The sequence below is a fragment of the Homo sapiens genome, chromosome 22 (assembly GCF_000001405.40).
Source record: "Homo sapiens chromosome 22, GRCh38.p14 Primary Assembly".
NCBI classification, from domain to species: Eukaryota; Metazoa; Chordata; class Mammalia; order Primates; family Hominidae; genus Homo; species Homo sapiens.
Window position 1 is genome coordinate 39,820,457 of NC_000022.11, and position 24,107 is coordinate 39,844,563.

The 24,107-nt window shown below is 36.6% G+C and overlaps 1 protein-coding gene across 7 annotated transcripts in view, besides 1 other annotated feature; it reads right to left on the reverse strand.

Moving 5' to 3' along the window:
- ENTHD1 (ENTH domain containing 1) overlaps positions 1-24,107 on the reverse strand; it is a 150,717-nt gene that overhangs the window by 77,413 nt on the left and 49,197 nt on the right. For all 7 annotated transcript variants that reach the window (XM_006724150.4, XM_011529928.3, XM_011529927.3 and 4 more), the window contains 2 exons: positions 15,384-15,502; positions 537-657 (listed from right to left, as the gene is read on the reverse strand). In XM_006724150.4, the coding sequence (XP_006724213.1) occupies positions 537-657; positions 15,384-15,502 (240 nt within the window). The remainder of the gene's footprint in view (positions 1-536; positions 658-15,383; positions 15,503-24,107) is intronic.
- Positions 18,854-18,903: an enhancer, noted in NCBI's record as "active region_19073". NCBI's record gives its function as "activates an Ori minimal core promoter by ATAC-STARR-seq in GM12878 lymphoblastoid cells {active_cell/tissue: GM12878}" and the evidence as "EXISTENCE:reporter gene assay evidence [ECO:0000049][PMID:35858748]".

The window sequence follows — 24,107 nt, forward strand, 5'->3', positions numbered from 1 at the left end:
GAGACAGGATGCAGTGACTCAACAGTGAGTCAGTCAGATCCTCAAGGATCCAGAGTAGTCGCAGAGCCCAGTTGGAACTCAATCGTGTAATTTATTGGAGGCTAGTTTTGTATAATTTTATACTGTGCCTTTCTCTAATGTTAATTACTCAAGAGATGATTAACCAATTTGTGGCTACTGTGCATCTTAGCTCTTCACATTTTCACTTGATGCCTGCTTTTGAAAGAGTTCATAATTTAAATTCTTTATGAAAAAAAACAGGAACTAAAATTAATTTTCTGCTATTAAAACTACTTGTAAAAGAGTTAAAGCTTGTAGTCAATTTTTGAAACAAACAATGAAAAAGGAAAAAGTAAAACAGGAAGAGAGAAAACACTGAAACAAATGGTAAAACAAGATTATAGGACCATGTTGTGGGTTGAATTTATCCATGCTAGTTCTGTCCCTCATTAACAAAGTTAAATAGAAGCCAACGGTTGCTGTACTTCACAAAATAAAATCTGATAAGTAAACTTCCTATTCCTTAACCAATTTACCTGCACCCGAAAGATTACAAACTTCTTCTGCTTCTGACAAGCAAGTGATTGGAGAGACAATGGAAGGAGGTGTTGCTAGTAAAGGCAGCTCTGGATCATCATCCAAAAATGTCATCAGGTCCTGACAGAAAACACAAGAACATGAGAATTGAAGAAAAAAATTAATATCCCTGGATGGACAATTTATTGAGCTACAAAGTATCTAAATGTGCTAACATCATCATAAACACATTCTAATTTAATTAACTCAAACATACATCTATCACTTGGCTGTCTACTGGGTGTAGGGAGGTTTTGTGCCCTCGGGAATCCCCAGACCTTGCTGAAGACACCGTCGGTAGATAGCAAGGATTTTGCTTAGGGCACTACCTTTACCTACCACCCTTCAGCATCCTTACAGCATACTATCTCAGAGGCCAATTATCTTGTCTCACTGGCAATCATAAAGTCACCTGTATATATCTTTTATTCATATTTAAAACTTTTAACTTTTTATCACCAAGTAAAAAGTAGACACAAAAGATAATCAATCCAATCATGCAGGTTAAACAATAATCAACTGATGGCTAATCTTGTTTCATTTATATCCCTACCATGCCTCATTTGTGATCTGTGACAACCTGTTTCACTTTGAAGCAAATCCTAGAATAATCCCTTATTTCATTATGTATCTCTGCCTTAGTCCATTCCGGTCACTATAACAAAATACCATCAACTGAGTGGCTTATAAACAACAGAAATTTATTCCTTACAGTTTGGGAGGTTAGCAAGTCAAGGTGCTGGCAGATCTGATGTCTGGCAAGGCCCCACCTCCTAGACAGTCATTTCTTCACTATAACCTCTCATGGCAGAAGGTGACCAAGGAGTTCTCTTGGCTTCTTTTATAAGGGCACTAATCATATTCATGAGGGCTATGCCCTTATGACCTAGTCACCTCCCGAAGATCCCGCCTCCTAATACCATCACTTTGGGTGTTAGGATTTCAACTAAGAATTTGGGAGGAAAACAAGTATTCAGACGACAGCAATCTCTAACTGATAATAACTGCATCAAACTGATAAACTTCATAGCTCCTAATGTCATCAATTACCATAAACTGTTCATATTTCCAACTTCTCCTAAATGTCATAAACAGGTTTTTCTACAGCTTGTTTGAAAAGGATCCAAATCAAGTCTATAGAGTGGGTTTAGCTGGTATGTCTTTTTTTTTTTCTGTGAACTAGGGATAATTTTTCTCCATTGTAATTAACATACAGTAAAATACACAGACCTTACATGTAGAGCTCGATAACTTTTATCATATGAGTATTCAATTATATAGTAACCACATTTCCTGCACCCAGAAAGTTTCCTCAAGCTCCTTTCCAGCTGATACCATCCCACCAGCCTGCATCATGACCACTATTCTATCATATCACCATTATTGAATTTTGTCTGTTCTTGAGTTTCATATGAATGTAATCATACACTATGTATACTTTTGTGTCTGGTTCCTATTGCTCAACATAATGTACATGAGATTCATCCATGTTTTACTGTGTAGTTCCTCCCTCCTTTCCTACCTATAAGAAAGGAGGGAGAGATTGCACAAAAAACAGATGTGAATGTATCACAATTGTTTATCCATTCTCCTGCATACGGATTATTTCCAAAGTTCATCTATTATGAATAAAGCTACTATGAACATTCTTGTATAAATCTTTTTGTGGACAAATGCATTCATTATTCCTGGATACTACATAGTAGTAGTATAGCATTTCTAGCTTATAGGACAGGTCTATTTTCAACTTCATTAGAAACTGCCAAACCATTTTCCAAAGTGATTTGCCCCTTTTAAAAACTCAACTTTGAGCTCATTTTAGATCCACATGTAAGAAATAATAGAGCCTATGTAACCTTTACTGTGTTTCCTCCAAAGGTAACATCTTGCAAAATTATAGTACAATATCATACTCAGGATATTGACATTGAAATAGTCAAGATACAGAACATTTCTATCACAATCACAAGAATCCTTTCTGATGCCCTTTCATAGACATACACTCCCTCAACAGAACTAATCTGTTCCTAATCTCTCCTTCATTTCTATAGTTGTGACATTTGAAGAATGCTATATAAATGGAATCATACAGTATGTAACCTTTTGGGACTGGCTTTTTTAGCCTTGCATAATTCCTAGAGATTCATCCAAATTATTTCATTTCAAGTTTCTTCCTTTTCATTGCGAGTAGTACCCTTGATATAGATGTAACATAGTTTAACCTGTTAAAGGACCTCTGGATTGTTTCTAGATTTTGGCTATTACAAATAAAGCTGCTGTGAACATTTGTGTACAGGTTTTTGTATGATATACATTTTCTTTTTCTTTTTGAGACAGAGTCTCAGTCTGTCGCCCAGGCTGGAGTGCAGTGGCGCCATCTTGGCTCACAGCAGCCTCAACTTCCCAGGCTCAAGTGATCCTCCCACTTCAGCCTCCCAAGTAGCTGGGACTACAGGTACGCATCACCATGCCCGACTAAATTTTTTTTAATTTTTTTTTTTTAGAAATGATGTTTAGCCATGTTGCCCAGGCTGGTCTCAAACTGCTGAGCTCAAACGATCCACCCAAACTTGGCATTCCAAAGTGCTAGGATTACAGGCATGTGCCACTGTACCAGCCTAGATGTTCATATCTCTGGTATAAATTCCTAGGAGAGCAATTGCTGTTCATATAGTAGCCACGTTTAGATTTATTAAAAACTACCAAACTGTTTTCCAGAGTAGCTGTACCATTTTGCATTCCTACCAGTAATATATTCGTGTTTTAATTTCTCCATATTCTCACTAGCATTTAGTGTTGTCACTATTTTTTAATTTTAGCCATTTTAATATTCATTGCATGTTTAAGTTACATTTTCCTGAAGGCTAATAACGTTGAACAACTTTTCGTGCGCTTACTTACCATCTGTATTTGTTAAAATGACTGTTCATAACATGTGCCCATTTTCTAATTGGACTGTTTGGTTTTAAACTGGTGAGTTTTAACAGTTCTTTAAATGCTCCAGATATTAGTCCTTTGCCAGATACGGGGTTTACAAATATTTTTTCCCAGTCTGTAAATTATCTTTCCATCCTCTTAACAGGGTCTTTTGCAGAGCAAACATTTTCAGTTTTGATGAGGTTTAATGTATCATATTTTTCCTTTTAGGGATCATGCTTTTGTCCAGTTCTTTTTTTTTTTTTTTTTTTTTTTTTTGAGACAGAGTCTCGCCTTGTCACCCAGGCTGGAGTGCAACGGCACGATCTCGGCTCACTGCAACCTCCGCCTCCAGGGTTCAAACGATTTTCCTGCCTCAGCCTCCCAAGTAGCTGGGATTACAGGCGCATGCCACCACGACCAGGTAATTTTTTGTATCTTTAGTAGAGACGGGGTTTTACCGTGTTGGCCAGGCTGGTCTCAAACTCCTGACCTAGTGATCCGCCCGTCTCAGCCTCCCAAAGTGCGGGGATTACAGGGGTGAGCCACCGCACCCGGCCCCAGTTCTAAATCTCAAAGATTTTTCTCCTGTATTTTCTAAAAGTTTTATAGTTTACATTTAAGTCTGTGATTAACTTGGAGTGAATTTCTATACAAGGTTTAGGTTGAGATTCATGGTTGTCTGAATGTCCAATGCTGTAGCACTATTTTTTGAAAAGGCTAATCCTCCTACATTGAATTTCCTTTGCACCTTTGTCAAAAATCAGTTGGCCATGTTTGTGTGTGTCTATTTCTGGGTTCTCTATTCTGTTCCACCGATCCAAGTGTTTGTCTCTCCACCAATACCGCACTCTCTTGATTACTGTAGCTATACACAGGCATTAATATCAGGCAGAAGGATTACTCCCATTTTGTTCTTCCTTTTCAAAATTGTTTTAGCTATTCTAGGGCCTGTGCCTTTCCATATCAATTTTAGAACAAGGTTATTATCTACCCCTATAGAAAACCTTTCTGGGATTTTAATAGGAATTACATTAAACCTATAGAATAATTAGGGTCATCTGTACTATGACCTTTACTATGTTGAGTCTTCCAATCCATGTAACATGATAGGTCTCTATTTGGGTCCTCTTTAATTTCCTTCATCAGTATTTTATAATTCTCAACATATGGACTCTGTACATGTTTTGTTAAATTTATACCTAAGTATTTCAATTTGGATTTATACATAAGTATTTTAATTTATACTTCAGTATTTTAATGCCTAAGTATTTAAATTTATACCTAAGTATTTCAAATGGTATTGTCTTAATTTAAGTTTCCACATGTTCATTGTTAGTATGTAGACATTCAGTTGATTTCTGTATGCTTTTATATATTGCTGGATTCAACTGGCTAATATTTTGTTGAGAATTTTTGCATCTAGTTTCATGAGAGATATTAGTCTGTAGTTTTCTTTTTCTGTACCTTCTTTGTTTAAACTTGGGATCAGGGTAATACTTGCCTCATAAAATGAATTGGGAAGTCTTCCCTCCTGTTCCATTTTCTGGAAGACATTGTGTAAAACTGCTGTTAATTCTTCTTTATTTTTTTATTTTTTGAGACAGGGTCTCACTCTGTCACCCAGGCTGGAGTACAGTGGTGCAATCAAGACTCTCATTTTTAAAATGATTGTAGAACTATTGAGTTTGGGTAGTTTACATTTTCTGAGAAAGTATTCTATTTCTTTTGATTTGTCAAAGTTATAAAGTTTTTGTGGTTTTTTTTTTTGTTTTCTTTTTGAGAGAGTCTCACTCTGCCTGCCTATTTTGATTATCTATTTGGTTTGTTTGGTTTATATCAGACATAGTAGTTTCACTACCCTAAAAATCCTCTGTGCTTTATTCATTCCTCCCTCCCACTAACCAAACAAACCAAATAGATGTTCTTGGTTTTGTTTTTGAGACAGAGTCTCACTCACTCTGTAGCCCAGGCTGGAGTGCAGTGGCATGACTTGGGCCCACTGCAAGCTCTGCCTCCCAGGTTCGAGTGATTCTCATGCCTCAGCCTCTTGAGTAGCTGGGACTATAGGCGCACACCACCACGCCTGGCTAATTTTTGTATTTTGCATTTTTTATAGACACATGGTTTCACCATGTTGGCCAGGCTGGTCTCAAACTCCTGGCCTCAAGTGATCCGCCTGCCTCGGCCTCCCAAAGTGCTGGGATTATGAGCATGCCTGGCCCGTAAGTATAAAGTTGTTGATAGTAATCCCTTACTATCCTTTTAGAGCTGAAGCAATTGTAGTGGTTATCTCTTGTCTCATCCTGATACTGGTGATTTGTGTCTTCTCTCTTTGTCTTTGCCAGTCTTGTTAGAGGTTTATCAACTTTTATTGTTTTTTAAATTTTTTAATTATTTTTACTTATTTATCTTTTTTTTCAAAGAACTGGCTTTTTGTATCATTCCTTTTTCTCTGTTGTTTTCCTGTTTTCAATTTCATTAATTTGTTCTTTATGATTTCCTTTCTTCTATTCCTTGTGCATTTATTTCACTTTTCTGAGTTTCCTGAGGAAAGAACTTAGATTATTGATTTCAAACCTTTCCTCTTTTCTACTGTAAGCGTTTAAAAAAATGTTTACATTATAAATGTAAGTGCTGAAAAGTTCCCGCTCACCACCGCTTTAGCTGTATTTCACATATTGCTAATATTGAGTGAACCTTAATGTAAACTGGACTTTGGGTGATTACAATATGTTAATGTAGATTGATTGATTGTAAAAATTTGACACTCTGATGTAGGATGTTGGTAGGGGTGGGAAGGGTATACTTGTAGGAGGGGTAGAGGACATAAGGAGAAATCTCCGTAGCTTCCACTCAATTTTGCTGTGAACCTAAGATGGCTCTAAAAAATAGTCTGTTAAAAAAAAAAAAAAAGATCAGAGTGACTTTTTTTAAATTTTGAGGGAGAGTCGTGCTCTGTTGCCCAGACTGGAATGCAGTGGTATAATCTTGGCTCAAGCTGTCCTGCCACTTCAGCCTCCCTGGCGGCTGGGACTATAAGCGCATGCCACCATGCCCAACTAATTTTTTTTTTTTTTTTTTTGAGACAGAGTCTCTCTCTGTCACCCAGGCTGGAGTGCAGTGGCGCGATCTCGGCTCACTGCAAGCTCTGGCTCCCAGGTTCACGCCATTCTCCTGCCTCAGCCTCCCAAGTAGCTGGGACTACAGGCGCCTGCCACCACGCCTGGCTAATTTTTTGTATTTTTAATAGAGACGGGGTTTCACCGTATTAGCCAGGATGGTCTCGATCTTCTGACCTCGTGATCCACCCGCCTCAGCCTCTCAAAGAGCTGGGATTACAGGCATGAACCAGTATGGTCAGCCCAGGGTAACATTTTGTAAAGATTTTTTAAACATTTAATAAAGATTTTATAAACATTTTATAAAGATTTCTATAAAGCAAAAAAAGTCATAAATAAAAATTTTAAATCAAATGGAAAATAGATAAAGAACCAGGAAGTGGGCTAATTCTCTAATACACAAATTGCTCTTAGGAATTGCTAAGACAAAGATGAGAAACCAAAAAGGAAAATAAGCAAAGGACATGAATAGAGTTAACAGTAAAAAGAAACAAACATGCCCAATAAACACATAAAAAGTTACAGTAAAAAATTAAAATAAAAATTTTCTTCCTCTCAGATTGACAAAAATGAAAACTTTTGATAACAGTATTTGCAAAGATGAGGGGAATCAAGATGATAGACTATATAAACTGTATACCAGTACTGTGTACCAATAAACTGGTACAACTTTTAGGAGGATAATTTGGCAGCATTTTTCAAAATTAAAAATAAGCATAACCTTTTGGCAATTCCCCTTCTGAGACAGCATAATAAAAATATATGTACAAGGATTATTATTGCAACTTTGCTTTAACAGGCAAAAACATGAAAGAGCCAAGTGATTACCAATAGGAAATGGCTAAGATTATATATATATATGTATGTGTATACGTATATAGATAAAGAATACAGCACAGCAATATGTACTGATATAGAAAAATGTCTATAAGATGTAGTTTACTAAAAAAGCATATCTTGAAATATACATTGAATGATTACATTTATTATACAGAAAGATGTCCATGATATATTGTTCAGTTCAAAGTGTGTTGCAGAGCAATACATATTGAATGAGACCAGTCAGGTAAAAGAAATGTGTAGACACAAAAATTTCCCCCCAAAATCACTGGAAACTGCTGGAGTTGCCTCTGGGGAAAGGAACTTGAGAAGCATGGAGGAGTAAGGAGCCACCCTGCTCTGTACTCTTTACCCTGTGATGTTGTCTGAACACTTTTCAATAAGTGCTTTCTAATTTAAAAAGAAGTAACAAGAGTACAAGCATGAAAATAAAAAAAACCTTTTAAGCATAAAACAATGATGTAGCAAAAAGATACAAGAAAAATGAATTAACATAATTAGAATAAGTAGAATTTCCATTTCTCTAACAACTTTGGTGAGATCAAATTTTAGGAAATATAATAAATGGCATCCCAATAAACCAAAAGATAAAAATGTATACTCTTCATTTAGCAAAATAACAAATGAAGGCAGTAGGAAACAAATATTTATCGTGTATCACTATCAATTTAGTAAATCACAACTAGACTGAAGGTTTCGGTCAGCTTTAATTTTGTGTGAACCAATTCATAGTATCTCTATCTGTTTCTATGGAAACAACTGAGACCAAAAACATCACAACCTCATTGTTGAATCTCCTCAAACAGGAAAAGAGTAAGGTCTTTTGAGGTGATGAAAAGCTGCAAATAGCCTTATTCATTAGCAAATCTAATAATAAAAATCCTGGGCAGTATATATAGAGAAAACAGATCATGTCAGTCATAAATTTAAAGTCTTTCCTTAGTTTCAAAAGTAACATTTAGGCAAGCCCTGTTCTGCTTTTAAAAGCTCTATTCTGTTATGAATTTTGTTTACTGCATTTAAGATAATTTTTCTTTCATTTATAAAATGAGAATAGTTAAAGAGGTTTCTACTTACATTTTTAAGAGATATTTTAAGCGCCCCTCATTCTGCCTAAGCAATCATTTATTTCTCATTCTGTAGATGTAGTACATTTGACAACAACAATTAGATTTACTGTTCAACTTACTAGGTTTTGTCTTCTGCTACAAGAGCAGACTACTGAAGAGGACATATTGGAATGTAACAAATGCTCCTAATAGTAATAAGAAAAGATGCTTGTCAAGAGGATAATGGGATATTGTTATAATACAGTGATGCTTTGAAAAAGGAAAATCCAACTTCTAAACTTCTTTTGAGAGAAATGCAACATTTTTTCTCACTGAAATAAGATGTAATGTAGATCAATAACACTGAGTTTCTCTGAAGTAAGAAAAAAACAATAGTAATCAGGATTTAAAGACAGATACAAAAAAAAAAAAAATAGGTGACTATTTCTTTCATTCCAAAGCACATAGGATTATTCAAGTCTATTTTCTACCTCAAAAGCCATCAGCAGAAAATAGGCTGATCTCAAATTTTAAAATCATTTTGGCTGGGCACGGTAGCTCACGCCTGTTATCTCAGCACTTTGGTAGGCCAAGGCGGGTGGATTGCCTGAGGTCAGGGGTTCAAGATCAGCCTGGCCAAGATCAGCCTGGTGAAACCCTGTCTCTACTAAAAATACAAAAATTAGCCGGGCATGGTGGCAGGCGCCTATAGTACCAGCTACTTGGAGGGCTGAGGCAGGACAATCACTTGAACATGGGAGGCAGAGGCTGAAGTGAGCCGAGATCATGCCAGTGCACTTCAGCCTGGGTGGCATAGAGAGACTCTGTCTCAATAAATAAATAAATAAATAAATAAATAAATAAATAAAATAATTTTTGACTTAATGTCTTATCTTTAAATTTTATTTATTTATTTATTTTACAGATGGGGGTCTCACTACGTTGCCTAGGTTGGAATGCAGTGGCTATTCACAGGTGTAATCATAGCATACTATCTACAGTTACAAACTCCTTGGGCTCAAGTGATCCTCCTGCCTTAGGCTCCCAAGTAGCTGGAACTACAGACACACATCACTATGCCCTGTTGTCTTATCTTTTAAAACAATCTATGTGTGTACACACAAACACACACCTGAGATGGAGTCTCACTCTGTCACCCAGGCTGGAGTGCAGTGGTGTAATCTTAGCTCACTGCAACCTCTGCCTCCCAGGTTCAAACAATTCTCCTGCCTCAGCCTCCCAAGTAGCTGGGATTACAGGTACACACCACCACGCCCGGTAATTTTCGTATTTTTAGTAGAGATGGGGTTTCACCATGTTGGCCAGGCTGGTCTTGAACTCCTGACCTCAAGTGATCCGTCCACCTCGGCCTCCCAAAATGCTGGAATTACAGGTGCGAGCCACTGTGCCCGGCCCCTAAAATAATCTGTCTTTTCAGTCAGTGAGCTATTACGAAATTAAAGAACAGCGAAATTTTAATTTTATGTACCTTTCTAAGCTGTTAGAAAAACAATTGAATCCGATACCTAATTGGGTTGGGGAAAGGCATCAGGAACAGAAAGTAAAAAATAATAATAATAATTCCAACCTTCCTTATAGGAATTCCAGCAGGGAACACTAAGAAAAGCACTCTGAGCACAAGACTAAACAAGCATCTTTCACAGGAAAAAAAGAGAAGCTAACGTTCATTTACTGTCTATTATTCATTCATTTCTTCAGTTGACAAAAATTTGTCAATTGAAGATTCAGCAATGAATAAAGACTAAACAGGTCTCTACTCAAGAAGATTTCCTTCTAGTGGGAGAAACAGACAACAAACAGAAAAACGAATTAATGAGATAATTTCACAGTCATGAGTGAAACGGATTTCTAGCCAAGATGGTTCTGTATGTTCATACTTTGGGGATGTCTCCCTTCTCCAAATATAGAGCAATGAGAGAGAAAATGCAAATGTGAAAATTAAAAAGATACAGTCATGCTCAAAACCAAGATTAACATCTTCATGGAACAGAAACAAATAATGGTAAGGAGAGGCTGAAGCTGTGGACCTTTGGGGCTCTGGGTACAGAAAATGTCAGAGAAAATCAGGAGCTCAACTGCTGAAGGCTACAGTGTCAATTCAAGATAGGAGTGCTGAATATGGATCCCTGCTTGAGATTATGCTCAGGTATTAGGATCCCCACTTACAAAGGAAGCTGAAATAACCTGTCATCAGTCACAGCCTGGGGTTGTGGCTTCTAAAAGTATTAGACTCGGATAGGTGAGAGAACACAAACCTCTCTAGCAATTAAAATACAGCATCCTTTGGTCTAGGGACCAGATCTGCAATATCTCTGATACCAGCAAAAGAAAGCAATCCCAAGCTGCCAGTAAGTCCTGAATGTGGATGAATAGTTCTGGGTGTCAGGAGGAGGCAAAATGAAAGACTGTTAAGCAGGAAGGAGAAAGGACACAGAGAGAAAGATTAAGAAACAAAAACAAAAACTTGAGCTACTCAAGATGAGCTTATAATCCAATACTCTAAAACACAGAAAGAAAACCAAATTCACTCCTGAAAAAGTCAATATAATAAAGAAATATAGGGGCCAGGTACGGTGGCTCATGACTGTAATCCCAACACTTTGGGAAGCCAAGGCGGGCGGATCACCTGAGGTCAGGAGTTCAAGACCAGCCTGGCCAACATGGTGAAACCCCATCTCTACTAAAAATGTAAAAAATTAGCCAGGTGTAGTGGCGGGCGTCTGTATACCCAGCTACTTGGGAGGCTGAGGCAGGAGAATCGCTTGAACCCCAGAGGCGGAGGTTGCAGTGAGCCGAGATCATGCCACTACACTCCAGCCTGGGTGACAAGAGCAAAATTCTGTCTCAAAAAACAAAACAAACAAACAAAATATATAGAAAGTATTTAAAACTGAGTACACGTAGTCTTAAAAGATAATGAAAAGGATAACATTTAATTTACCGGAATAAATCAAGAAATAAAAACAGGCAGATATGAAATAAGTACAAATGGATATACTTAAGAAGCAATGAGAGGTTCTCTAAATGAAAAATAGAGTTATTGAAATAAAAACCTGGCAGAATGTGGTGGCTCATGCCTGTAATCCCAGTGCTTTGGGAGGCCAAGGCGGGAGGATCACTTGAGGCCAGGAGTTCGAGACTAGCCTCGGCAATATAGTAAGACCTCGTCTCTACAAAATATTTTTAAAATTAGCCAGGCATAGTGATGCACTCCCAGCTGCTTGGGAGGCTGAGGTGGGAAGATCGCTTGCACCCATGAGTTTGAGGTTACAGTGAGCTATGATCATTCCACTGCATTCCAGCATGGGCAACAGAGGGAAACTCTGTTTCTAAAATAAATAAATAAATAAATACCTCACTAGACAGAAAAATTCTAAGTGGGCACCTACGAAAGGAGAATAAATGAACTGAAAGATGATCTAATCACAATGCAGCATGGAGATATGAAACAAAAAAAAGTTTTAAAAAGCTGCTGAAAGCCATTAAAAATGACAGAGTAATCCAATGTATATTTAACGGAAATTAAGCAGAAAAAGTGTTCAAGGAGATGGAGGAAAAGTAATGTTTTAAGAGCTATATGCTAAAATTAAAGATGTGAGTTGTCATGTGAAAGTGCAAACAGGAGTTAAGTAGATACTATGTCTGAGAAGGTCGCAGAACACTGCAGAAAGAACAGCAAGTCCTGCTTCTGGTTCTGGTGGCTCCCTCTCACAAGATCAACCCAGGAGGTACTATAAAGGAACGACATCAAAATGAGAAGAAAACTGAAAGGCCCCCGGGGAGACACAGAGCTCTTTTGAACTGGTAAATGTGTGTGAGAGTGAGTAGGGGTGTCGGTGCTGGCTTTATCCTGGGACGGAAGGAAGGGAGTCTGCAGTGACAAGATAACATAGGAAGAAAAGTATCATAATGACACTCCATTTGCTGCCCTGCAACTGGCCTCCACAGCTACTGGGACTCAGGCAGCTGTACTCAGGAGTACCTTCCAGTCTGTGCAGAAGCCGAGTGGGCAAGGAGCTGAGAAAATCTGGGGGCGACTGGGGTAGGCTTGGGAAGATGCTTCTTCACCCTTCCTCTTCCTGTCCCCCAGGTGGGCATGTGGTTTGCAATTTAAGAAGTGTCTCCCCCTAAGGCTACTTCTTCTTGGGGTATTAAGAATTAATTCATAACTTGAGGCATTGATCCTTAGGGTGAGAAATGATCAGCTTAGGTCTTATGGGGGTGAAGGGGAAGAAATACTCTTCACTCTCGAGTCCATTTCCTTCACCTCCCACTTAAGCTGATAGGGAGCAGACAGATTAAGCTCTAGCCTTTAGCAATACTTAAAAAAAGCAGCCATTACCTCTAAAGATAACCAGCCATTGGAGGAGCATAACTATTTCAAAAGAAAAATTAAAAACTGAATCACTGATTTCATCAGAAGCCCAGATATTAGAAAACATAGACCAAGAATTTAAAATAAATTTACTAAACATACCAAGATAAATAAAAAGGGATATAAGTAATATGAAACAGGAAGACATGATATAAAGAAGAAACATAAATACTGAATATTACATATAAAAATAGAATAGTTGAAATAGAGAATATAGATGATATTTAAAATTGAATGGATATAGCTGAGAATAAATTACTAAGCTGGAAGATCAAATTGAGGAACTCACAGAAAAAAGAAAACAAATAGAAACTATAAAGAAAAGTGAAGAGATATAAAGATAGAGAATTACTAATATCCAGATAATAAGAGTCCAAGAAAGATAAAAAAGTGAAAATCAACAGTAGAAAATGATTGAAGAAAAATCGAGATAACTTTCACAGGACTAAATAGAGATGAAAAATCCTCCAACTGAAAAGTCCCATGGGTGAGAAAGAGGAAAGAAAAGAAAACCACACTTACGCATACTGTAGTAAAATTAAGTCTTTTCAACAAATAGTGTTGAAACAACTGGATATACTTGGGCAAAAAAAAAAAAAAAAAAAAAAATTAAAAGCCCTTTATCTATACACTTCACACCTTACACAAAAATTAATTCAAAATAGATCACAGACCTAAACGTAAAACATGACACTTTTAGGAGAAAACCTGTGTGACATTGTTTAGGCAAAGAGTTCTTAGATATGACACCAAATGCATGATTTTCAAAAACTGAAAAATTTGACTTCATTGAAATCTTAAAATTTTGCTCTGTGAAAGATATTGTTAAAAAGAAAACACAAGCCACAAACGGAGAGAAAATATACACAGATCACATATCTGACAAAGAACTTATATCCAGAATATGTGAAGAACTCAAAACTCAATGGTAAAAAGAAAACCAATTCAATTAGAAAATGGATAAAAGATGTGAACATATGAATAAGGTCAAAGATAAGTTATAATGCCACAAATAAGCACATGAAAAGATATTCAACATCATTAGCCATTTGGAAAATGCAAATTAAAATCACAATGAGATATCATTACAGACCTATTAGAAGAGCTAAAATTAAAATAGCAGTAATACCAAAAGTTGGTTAGGATGCAGAGCTACTGGATCTTTTATGCATTGCTCATGGGAATATAAAATGGTATAGCCACTCTGGAAAATAGTTTGACTATTTTTGCAAAACTTGGCACACACTTACCGTACAACCCTACAACTCTCTGACATTTATCCCCGAGATATGAAAACTTCACACAAAAATATGTACACAAATATTCACAGCAACTTTATTCATCATAGCTAAAGAAGGAAACATCCGAATATTCTTCAATGAATGAATGGTTGAACAAAATCTGGTATATCCTGACAGTGGAACATACTCAGCAACAAAAAGGGATGCATTACTGATTCATGTGACAACCTGTCGGCCCCCCAGGAGCATTACACTGAGCGAAAAAATTCCATCTCAAAAGGCTGCATACTGTCTCATTCCATTTATATAACGTTATAGACATGACAAACACTGCAGAGATGGAGAAAATATTATTGCCAGAGGATGAGTTGGGAGTGGGGTGGGTAGCACGAGGCACTTCTTTTGTGGTGATGGAACAGTTCTATCTCTTCATTGTGGCTCTGTTTACACGTATCTATACATGGGATATAATTACATAGAACCACACACACAAAAACACAAATACAAGTTTAAAAATCTGAACAGTGAATTGAAAAGTTGAACAATGAATAAGGGCTGCAATCCAGTTGGTACTAATTAATATACCAATATCCGTTTTCTGGTTTTGATGTTGTGCTGCAACCATACAACATGCCAACAGTGGCACAAGCTGAGAGAAGGGCATACGGGACTCTGTACTATTTTTGCAACTTCCTGTGAGTATACAATTATTTCATAGTAAGAATTCTTTTTAATGGGTAGAAAAAGACTATTCAACAAATTAAATATTGCCTATCCACAAGGGTACAAAGAAGGACTCTATCTTCTACTATACAGAAAAATTCTAGAGGACATAAGGACCTCAACACTTAGAAGAAAAAATAAGAGATTTTATTATATTAGGGTAAGAAATAATTTCTCAAGATTTTTTTAATAGCACAGACCATAAAACTTTGATAATTTGACCTTATTAATATTTAAAGCCTTGAATAACAAAAGACACCAAAAGCAAAGTTAAAAGACAAGCACAATTTCTCTTGGAACACATGAAGCTGCAAAAGACAAATTTAAAAAAAACCCAAAACATAAAAACACATCATCCGCTAGGGCCTCCAGAAAGAACACAGCCCTACGGACACCTTGATTTTAGCCCAGTGAGCCCTGGGTCAGGCTTCTAACCTACAGAAGATAATAAATTTGTTTGTTTTAAGGCACAAAACTTGCAGTGATTTATTACAGCAGCTATAGGAAACTATAGACTTACCTCTGTTGATTTCCAACCATGAATCTTGAGTGGAAGTGTTTCCTGGGACAACATAGTTTCTGTAGGCAAATGAACATCTTGGCAATGCTCTTGTTTCAATCCTGCCTTGCACACATTTCCTGTCAACAATATAAAGCTTAAGATTTTACTTTGGCAAAACACAGTTATGTTTTTATATTAGTTCCCAATTTGTAAGTTAATCACTTCTGAAGATACCTTTTTTTCCTGCTAAATATAAACCATCTGCCAGTGGTAACCTATGAGTGTTAATCACTTTAATATGTCTCTTTGTAATAAGTGAGAAGTTCAGACTGATTTTAAAAATACAACTTAAATTCTTAAGAAAATAAAATTATTTTCTTTATATTTGACAAATATTCATACAAATTTATAATGCACTTATGTGGTTTTGATTGACTGCATACTAACAATAATTATGATAAGTCAATCTAGAATAAATATTAAAATCTTTGGTCAGAGAAAATTTAGAAAAATAATTTAAATTCTAGCCCTTTCCTACATCAACAACTCTGTTATAACATTACTTAGTCATCTTTTCTAAAAAATAAGGTTTAATGTAGTATAGAAAATAGAGTTTGAAAAAGTGAAAAGTATTCAAATAAAATTTTAGCAAAGCAGGAATGAGAACTGTAATTATTTTAATTAATATTTTAAAGAACTTTATTACTGCAGTGTGAATTTGATGTGTTCTAAGAGAAACTAATCAGAAATGTATAGATTATTAGATAAAAGAACTCAACACAATTTTTAAATTTTGATTTGAACATAAAAGAATACACCTGTGATATGGTTTGGATTTGTGTCCCCACCCAAGTCTCATGTCATATTGTAATCACCAATGTTAGAGGAGGGGCTTGGTGGGAGGTGATTGGTTCATGGGGCAGATTTCCCCCTTGTTCTTGTGATAGTGGATTCTCATGAGAGCTGGTTGTTTAAAAGTGTGTAGCACCTCCCGCTTCGCTCTCTTCCTCCTTCTCCAGCCATGTAGGACATTCTTGCTTCCCCTTTGCCTTCCGCTATGATTGTAAGTTTCCTGAGGCTTCCTCAGCCATGCTTCCTGTACAGCCTGCAGAACCATAAACCAATTAAACCTCTTTTCTTTATCAATTACCCAGTCTCAGGTAGTCCTTTATAGCAATTTGAGAATGTACTAATACAACCAGTGAAAATAAACTGATATTTCTGTTTATATCTTTTTGCTAAACAATATTTTTATAGTCCTAATCTTTCCCTTGCTATGTTAATTACTATATATTAGTACCAACTCTAAAAAGTCTAATCTGAAAGTATTAGTACCAACTCTATCTCAGCATATCATTGGGCACAATAAAAAGTATAAGAAAAACTACCTTCAAATTGGTATATACACACTACTGGAGATATGTAAAGATTTCCCAAGGGCTAGGTGGGCATAGATAGTTTTAAAGGAAGCAATTTCCAGATCCGCAACTTCCACCTATGTTCTTACCAAAAACTGATCTGCCTGAGAATGCAACTATGCAGAGGTATCAGGCTAGTTCTTTCCCCTTTCCCTCTAATAATCAATTTTCTCCCATTTTACAAAAGAAAGGCATATCTTCACCCATCTTATTATGATATCTTCCCAAGCATAAGAACCTCTAAGGCACCAAATAATAGTTAAAAATACGAACATAGAGGAAGCCTCCTTTAATCAAAGCAGAAAAAAACTAATGGTCTGTCTGTCCAGACATTTCTTTTAATGGGAAAGCATGGCATAAATAACAAGGTATTTTGGTCCACACCAGCATGTTTGGTATTCTGATATATTACAGTACGAGGCAGCAGGACAGATGACAAGTTTTGTTTAATGTCCTTGTGTTTTTCATTCCTCACCTATTATCAAAGAATGCATTATTCCTAAGGAAGAGTCCCCTGAGAGTAAAGCCAGGCAAGCATGAGAGGCAGGGGTGCCATATGTCACCAATGCAACAAACTCCTGATGAGGCTGCATGCCTTTGCCATCCATCTTAGGAAAGGATTCAGGAGTGTGAAGACAATCAGGACAACATCTGTTTATACATTTATTTGAATAAAGTAAGACATTTTCTGAAGGAAACTTTAAATCTGATTTGGCTAGTTGTCTTAACAATGAGAGTTGGCTTTACCAACCTAGATTATATGGTAAATATTTTCCAAAAATTGAATGAACCAAATCTGAGGTTCTGTAGAGTTGATGAAAGTATATTTACAGCATATGATACAATAAAATTATTTTCTCAAAAAATTGTATTGACAGATATACTGCAATTAATATTTTAATTTTTCTCACACTTTCTGAGTATATTCGGTTAAATTAAAGTATAACAGGTTTAATTAATAGTTATTTAATAAATTTTAGTATGAATTTTTTTGGTATTCTTCCCAGAAATTGAGAAAGTAAATTACTCCTTATGACTGTTTAACAAGTCTTTTTCTAAGTAGGGTGTTTCTAATTCTTTGCTTTTAGCAACACTGAAAAATGACTTCATCAAGTTAACAGTCAACAAGAGATAAAAATATATTTTATAATAAATCACTATATAATTTCCAGCATATTACTTGGAAGAAATTCATAGAATTGACTGACACTATTATAATAAAGCACCTTCTTGTCCCATCTATGATTTAGGTGAACAAGTTTTCTCAGCATTTATCTTTATACAAATATAAATAAAATAGAGGCAGGATTTCTGCTGAGCCCTGCTTGTAGCTAGCAATCAGTCACACTCCTATGTGGGCAAACGAGCAGTTCCAATTATCTCATAAAACCATATATTTCTAATAAAATTATATTTAACAAATATTCATACAAATTTATAATGCATTTATGTGGTTTTGATTGACTGCATACTAACAATAATTGTAATAAGTCAATCTAGAAGAAATATTAAAACCTTTGGTCAGAGAAAATTTAGAAAAATAATTTCAATTTTATATCTATTTGATGTAGAGAAGATTTCCAAGCATAAAAATATTTTATATTAGAATAAAATTCTGCAAGAAATGTAGAATAAACATATGACTTCAGAGAGAAAAGGGAATAATGTAAAATTTCTAACAGTTAAGGACTTCATGTATTTTTTTTTAAATGAATGACTACAGTTATCAATCACAATGGTATTTAGATTCCCTTAGATACATTTAAAAGATGGATATAACTTAACAGTTTGCTTGTTTTTTCTTTTCTTTTGTCCTTAATGTCAATATTTACAACGTGCCAGAATTATATCCTTTGCAGTTATTTATACTTATAAAACTTCATATATCAACTCAAAAATGTGTGAGGAGGTACATAGTGTTTCAAAATCATTTTAGGGGTTATGCAAAACAAAAAAAAATACTGAAAAGCGGTAATATAAGGCACAGTCTTTACCTTCTAGAAGTTTATAGCCTGACTAGGTATATAAGTCTAACATACAGACTTACAGGAAACAGAGAACAATTATATGCTAAACGTTCTTGAATTAATTAATTTTAGGAACAGATACTCTAAGGAGGAAAACAACAATGTGCACCAGAGTAATCAAAAACAACCACAAAGAGGAAGTAAAATTTGAACAAGGCTTTGAAGGACGGCTAGGATTCCAATAAGGGTAGAGGCAAAGATAAATTACTCCGAGCAGAAGGACCTACGTGGGCAAAGGGAGAAAGTATGGTAGATGCCAGAGATACTGAAGAAATAAGAATCTTTCATTTATGGTTGTAACTTTTCATTTTGTTTTAACTTCACATAAAAGTGAATAATTAAAATGAGCTTATTTGGGGCTTGGAGATTTTGTAGCTAATATTGGCAAAGAGTGGTGACTTGGGGCTTAGATCATCTATCTACTTTCACTGGATTTAATCAACTACATTATCACTTGCTCGGCATTCAGCAACTAAATTATCTTGGAAATCATATGGTCTTAGGTTTTAGACATTACAGAAGTAGATTAGTAAAAATGTCAGATGGTCAATTTTGAAGTAAATTTTGAGAGAAACTGAAGAATAGCAAGAAATGTGAAAGAAAAAATATCTTGCATGTTGGAGATGCATTTTGGCCTAGAATAGCCTAAATGTAGTAAACCTATCTTATGAGGCAAGAAAGAAAGCAATTAGAATATAGTGGGTCTATGGAAACTCATTAAATTTTTCTTTCAGTATCAGATAGCATAACACTGGAAGTGAGGTGTGCTTAATTAGATTTGGTAATTACACAACATTTATTTCTGGATTTTCACAAGCAAGTAGGAGAGAACATACATTTAGTTCCTTATAGTTCCTTAGTGGAAATGAGATCCCTTTGGTCTTGTAAGCTACTTATCAATTGACACTGTGAAGTCACAAGCCAGTGAAGACTAGTATGTGAATGAGAAACCTCAGAGGAAAAAGTAATGATGCTGCAGGAAATGAAGCCATTGAGTCATTCAAAGATGAGTGCTTCGATACCAAGGTTGTAAGTACTTTGTGGAAACTATCTAGAAAGAAGCTGTACATCCCACTGAGCCCGCACCACTCAGATAATACCACAAAGCAGAACTTGTGAACCCTCCGATATTTCTTAGATGAGATATCAAACTGACGTTCAAATTATCAGGCATTAGCAATGCACCATACATTTTGGAAATGCAACGCTCCATAAGTTGAACAGATTTCCAAATTGTTCCATTTATTATTTAGCATATAATAACCATGTCCTTTTAGGTGTAATGTAAGTGAATTAAATAATTTGCTTAAAAAATTAATTTTTAGTAACAGACAGATATATTGCATTATAGAAAATATTCAGTGGGCTAAGGAAGAGCTAGTAAGATCTAAAAGTCAAGTCTCATGGTGCTTAAATTTATATCTAACTTTTACAGAATTGTGAATTTGGAACCTTGACTCCAATTTCGTTGTTTTGGCACATAGTTAAGCATCTTTTTTTTTTTTTGAGACGGAGTCTCGCTCTGTCGCCCAGGCTGGAGTGCAGTGGCGTGATCTCAGCTCACTGCAAGCTCCGCCTCCCAGGTTCACCATTCTCCTGCCTCAGCCTCCCGAGTAGCTGGGACTACAGGCACCCACCACTGCCCCTGGCTAATTTTTTGTATTTTTAGTAGAGACAGGGTTTCACCGTGGTCTCGATCTGCTGTCCTCGTGATCCACCCACCTCGGCCTCCCAAAGTGCTGGGATTACAGGTGTGAGCCACCGCGCCTGGCTAACTTAAGCATCTTAAAGTAGTTGGTATTTGTCATATTTTTTTTAACTTTGATTTTGTAATAATTTTAAGCTTACAGAAAAGTAACAAGAATAGTACAAAGAATGCCCATATGGTCTTCATCCCAGATTCACCAATTGTTAACATTTTGCCCCATTTGCTTTATTCTCTATTCTCATTATCTATTTATGTACACATATTATTACTGTCCTATATTTTAAATCTAGAGGAAAAGCCATTGTAGGTTGGGTTCCCTAGGAAACAGACTCTCAGACTCAGATTTGCATGTGGGAGAGCCATTAGGGAGCGCTCTTAGAAACTACCAGTGAGTCTAAGTCTCTTTGTAGGTCACTCAGGACTTGCTTTATGAATCTGGGTGCTCCTGTATTGGGTGCATATATATTTAGGATAGTTAGCTCTTCTTGTTGAATTGATCCCTTTACCATTATGTAATGGCCTTCTTTGTCTCTTTTGATCTTTGTTGGTTTAAAGTCTGTTTTATCAGAGACTAGGATTGCAACCCCTGCCTTTTTTTGTTTTCCATTTGCTTGGTAGCTCTTCCTCCATCCTTTTATTTTGAGCCTATGTGTGTCTCTGCACGTGAGATGGGTTTCCTGAATACAGCACACTGATGGGTCTTGACTCTTTATCCAATTTGCCAGTCTGTGTCTTTTAATTGGAGCATTTAGTCCATTTACATTTAAAGTTAATATTGTTATGTGTGAATTTGATCCTGTCATGATGCTGTTAGCTGGTTATTTTGCTCGTTAGTTGATGCAGTTTCTTCCTAGTCTCGATGATCTTTACATTTTGGCATGATTTTGCAGCGGCTGGTACTGGTTGTTCCTTTCCATGTTTAGTGCTTCCTTCAGGAGCTCTTTTAGGGCAGGCCTGGTGGTGACAAAATCTCTCAGCATTTGCTTGTCTGTAAAGTATTTTATTTCTCCTTCACTTATGAAGCTTAGTTTGGCTGGATATGAATTTCTGGGTTGAAAATTCTTTTCTTTAAGAATGTTGAATATTGGCCCCCACTCTCTTCTGGCTTGTAGGGTTTCTGCCGAGAGATCTGCTGTTAGTCTGATGGGCTTCCCTTTGAGGGTAACCCAACCTTTCTCTCTGGCTGCCCTTAACATTTTTTCCTTCATTTCAACTTTGGTGAATCTGACAATTATGTGTCTTGGAGTTGCTCTTCTCGAGGAGTATCTTTGTGGTGTTCTCTGTATTTCCTGAATCTGAACGTCGGCCTGCCTTGCTAGATTGGGGAAGTTCTCCTGGATAATATCCTGCAGAGTGTTTTCCAACTTGGTTCCATTCTCCCCGTCACTTTCAGGTACACCAATCAGACGTAGATTTGGTCTTTTCACATAGTCCCATATTTCTTGGAGGCTTTGCTCATTTCTTTTTATTCTTTTTTCTCTAGACTTCCCTTCTCGCTTCATTTCATTCATTTCATCTTCCATTGCTGATACCCTTTCTTCCAGTTGATCGCACCATTCAGGACATAGGCATGGGCAAGGACTTCATGTCTAAAACACCAAAAGCAATGGCAACAAAAGACAAAATTGACAAATGGGATCTAATTAAACTAAAGAGCTTCTGTACAGCAAAAGAAACGACCATCAGAGTGAACAGGCAACCTACAAAATGGGAGAAAATTTTTGCAACCTACTCATCTGACAAAGGGCTAATATCCAGAATCTACAATGAACTCAAACAAATTTACAAGAAAAAAACAAACAACCCCATCAAAAAGTGGGCAAAGGACATGAACAGACACTTCTCAAAAGAAGACATTTATGCAGCCAAAAAACACATGAAAAAATGCTCATCATCACTGGCCATCAGAGAAATGCAAATCAAAACCACAATGAGATACCATCTCACACCAGTTAGAATGGCAATCATTAAAAAGTCAGGAAACAACAGGTGCTGGAGAGGATGTGGAGAAATAGGAACACTTTTACACTGTTGGTGGGACTGTAAACTAGTTCAACCATGGTGGAAGTCAGTGTGGCAATTCCTCAGGGATCTAGAACTAGAAATACCATTTGACCCAGCCATCCCATTACTGGGTATATACCCAAAGGACTATAAATCATGCTGCTATAAAGACACATGCACATGTATGTTTACTGCGGCACTATTCACAATAGTAAAGACTTGGAACCAACCCAAATGTCCAACAATGATAGACTGGATTAAGAAAATGTGGCACATATACACCATGGAATACTATGCAGCCATAAAAAATGATGAGTTCATGTCCTTTGTAGGGACATGGATGAAACTGGAAATAATCATTCTCAGTAAACTATCGCAAGAACAAAAAACCAAACACCACATATTCTCACTCATAGGTGGGAATTGAACAATGAGATCACATGGACACAGGAAGGGGAACATCACACTCTGGGGACTGTTGTGGGGTGGGGGGAGGGGGTAGGGATAGCATTGGGAGATATACTTAATGCTAGATGACGAGTTAGTGGGTGCAGCGCACCAGCGTGGCACATGTATACATATGTAACTAACCTGCACAATGTGCACATGTACCCTAAAACTTAAAGTATAATAATAAAAGAAAAAAAAAAACTACCAGTGAGGAGGGAGGCAGGCAGGAAGGATCGGGTCAAGCAAGCACAGTTGCAATAACTGTAGCACACTTGCAATAAAGGACTCAGCTGATCCTTATAGGAGCTTTGAGGCTGGAATGGCTCTTCACAGTTGTCCTGCCTTGATGTAGGATTCCTTAGCTAGGGGGCATGACCTTGAACGAAGAGGCTGTCTTCAGCTGTTGGGAATTCCCAGAGGAGGATTCAGTTGAGAGCCCACAGCCAACACCCTCCCACAACTCAAGAGTGCCTTGATCTTGAAGCAAGGATCTGGGAGACACACCACAGTATCCACTACAGACACAATCTCTATGTTTCTGCTTTATTGCTCTGCTTCCATTTACCTGAGAAATGCTTCAAAACACAGGAGATGGAGTGTACAATTACTGTACATCTTTCTTGGTAGATGAATTTTGAGATTAAAGATGTACAATTACTGTACATCTTTCTTGGTAGATGAATTTTGAGATTAAAGATGTACAATTACTGTACATCTTTCTTGGTAGATGAATTTTGAGATTACTAGGGGAAAGGCATTTTTAAGGTGAAAAGAGAAGAATAAGAAAGCAGAGATGTTTAAGTAGATTTTTAAAATTAAATTTGAAATAGGTAGATAAGAAAAGTGAAAAAGAACCAACTTTACTGCTGGAGATCTTAAAAATGGAGTTGAGACAATTTTATTTCAGTATTTTGCTAACAATAGCATATAAAATTTGAGACACTGCCAGTAGTTCTCACTTAAGAATAATGAGAAACAGGGAAATTCACAAACCAAGTTAGAAGCTCAGCTCCAGGGACAAGGAAAAATAAACAGTCACTACAAAAGCAAGTTTTAATATTCAGTAGCTGACTCCTGGGTTAAGATAGCAAAATGAAACTGCAACACAGAATTCCCATCACCCAGTACGCAATGA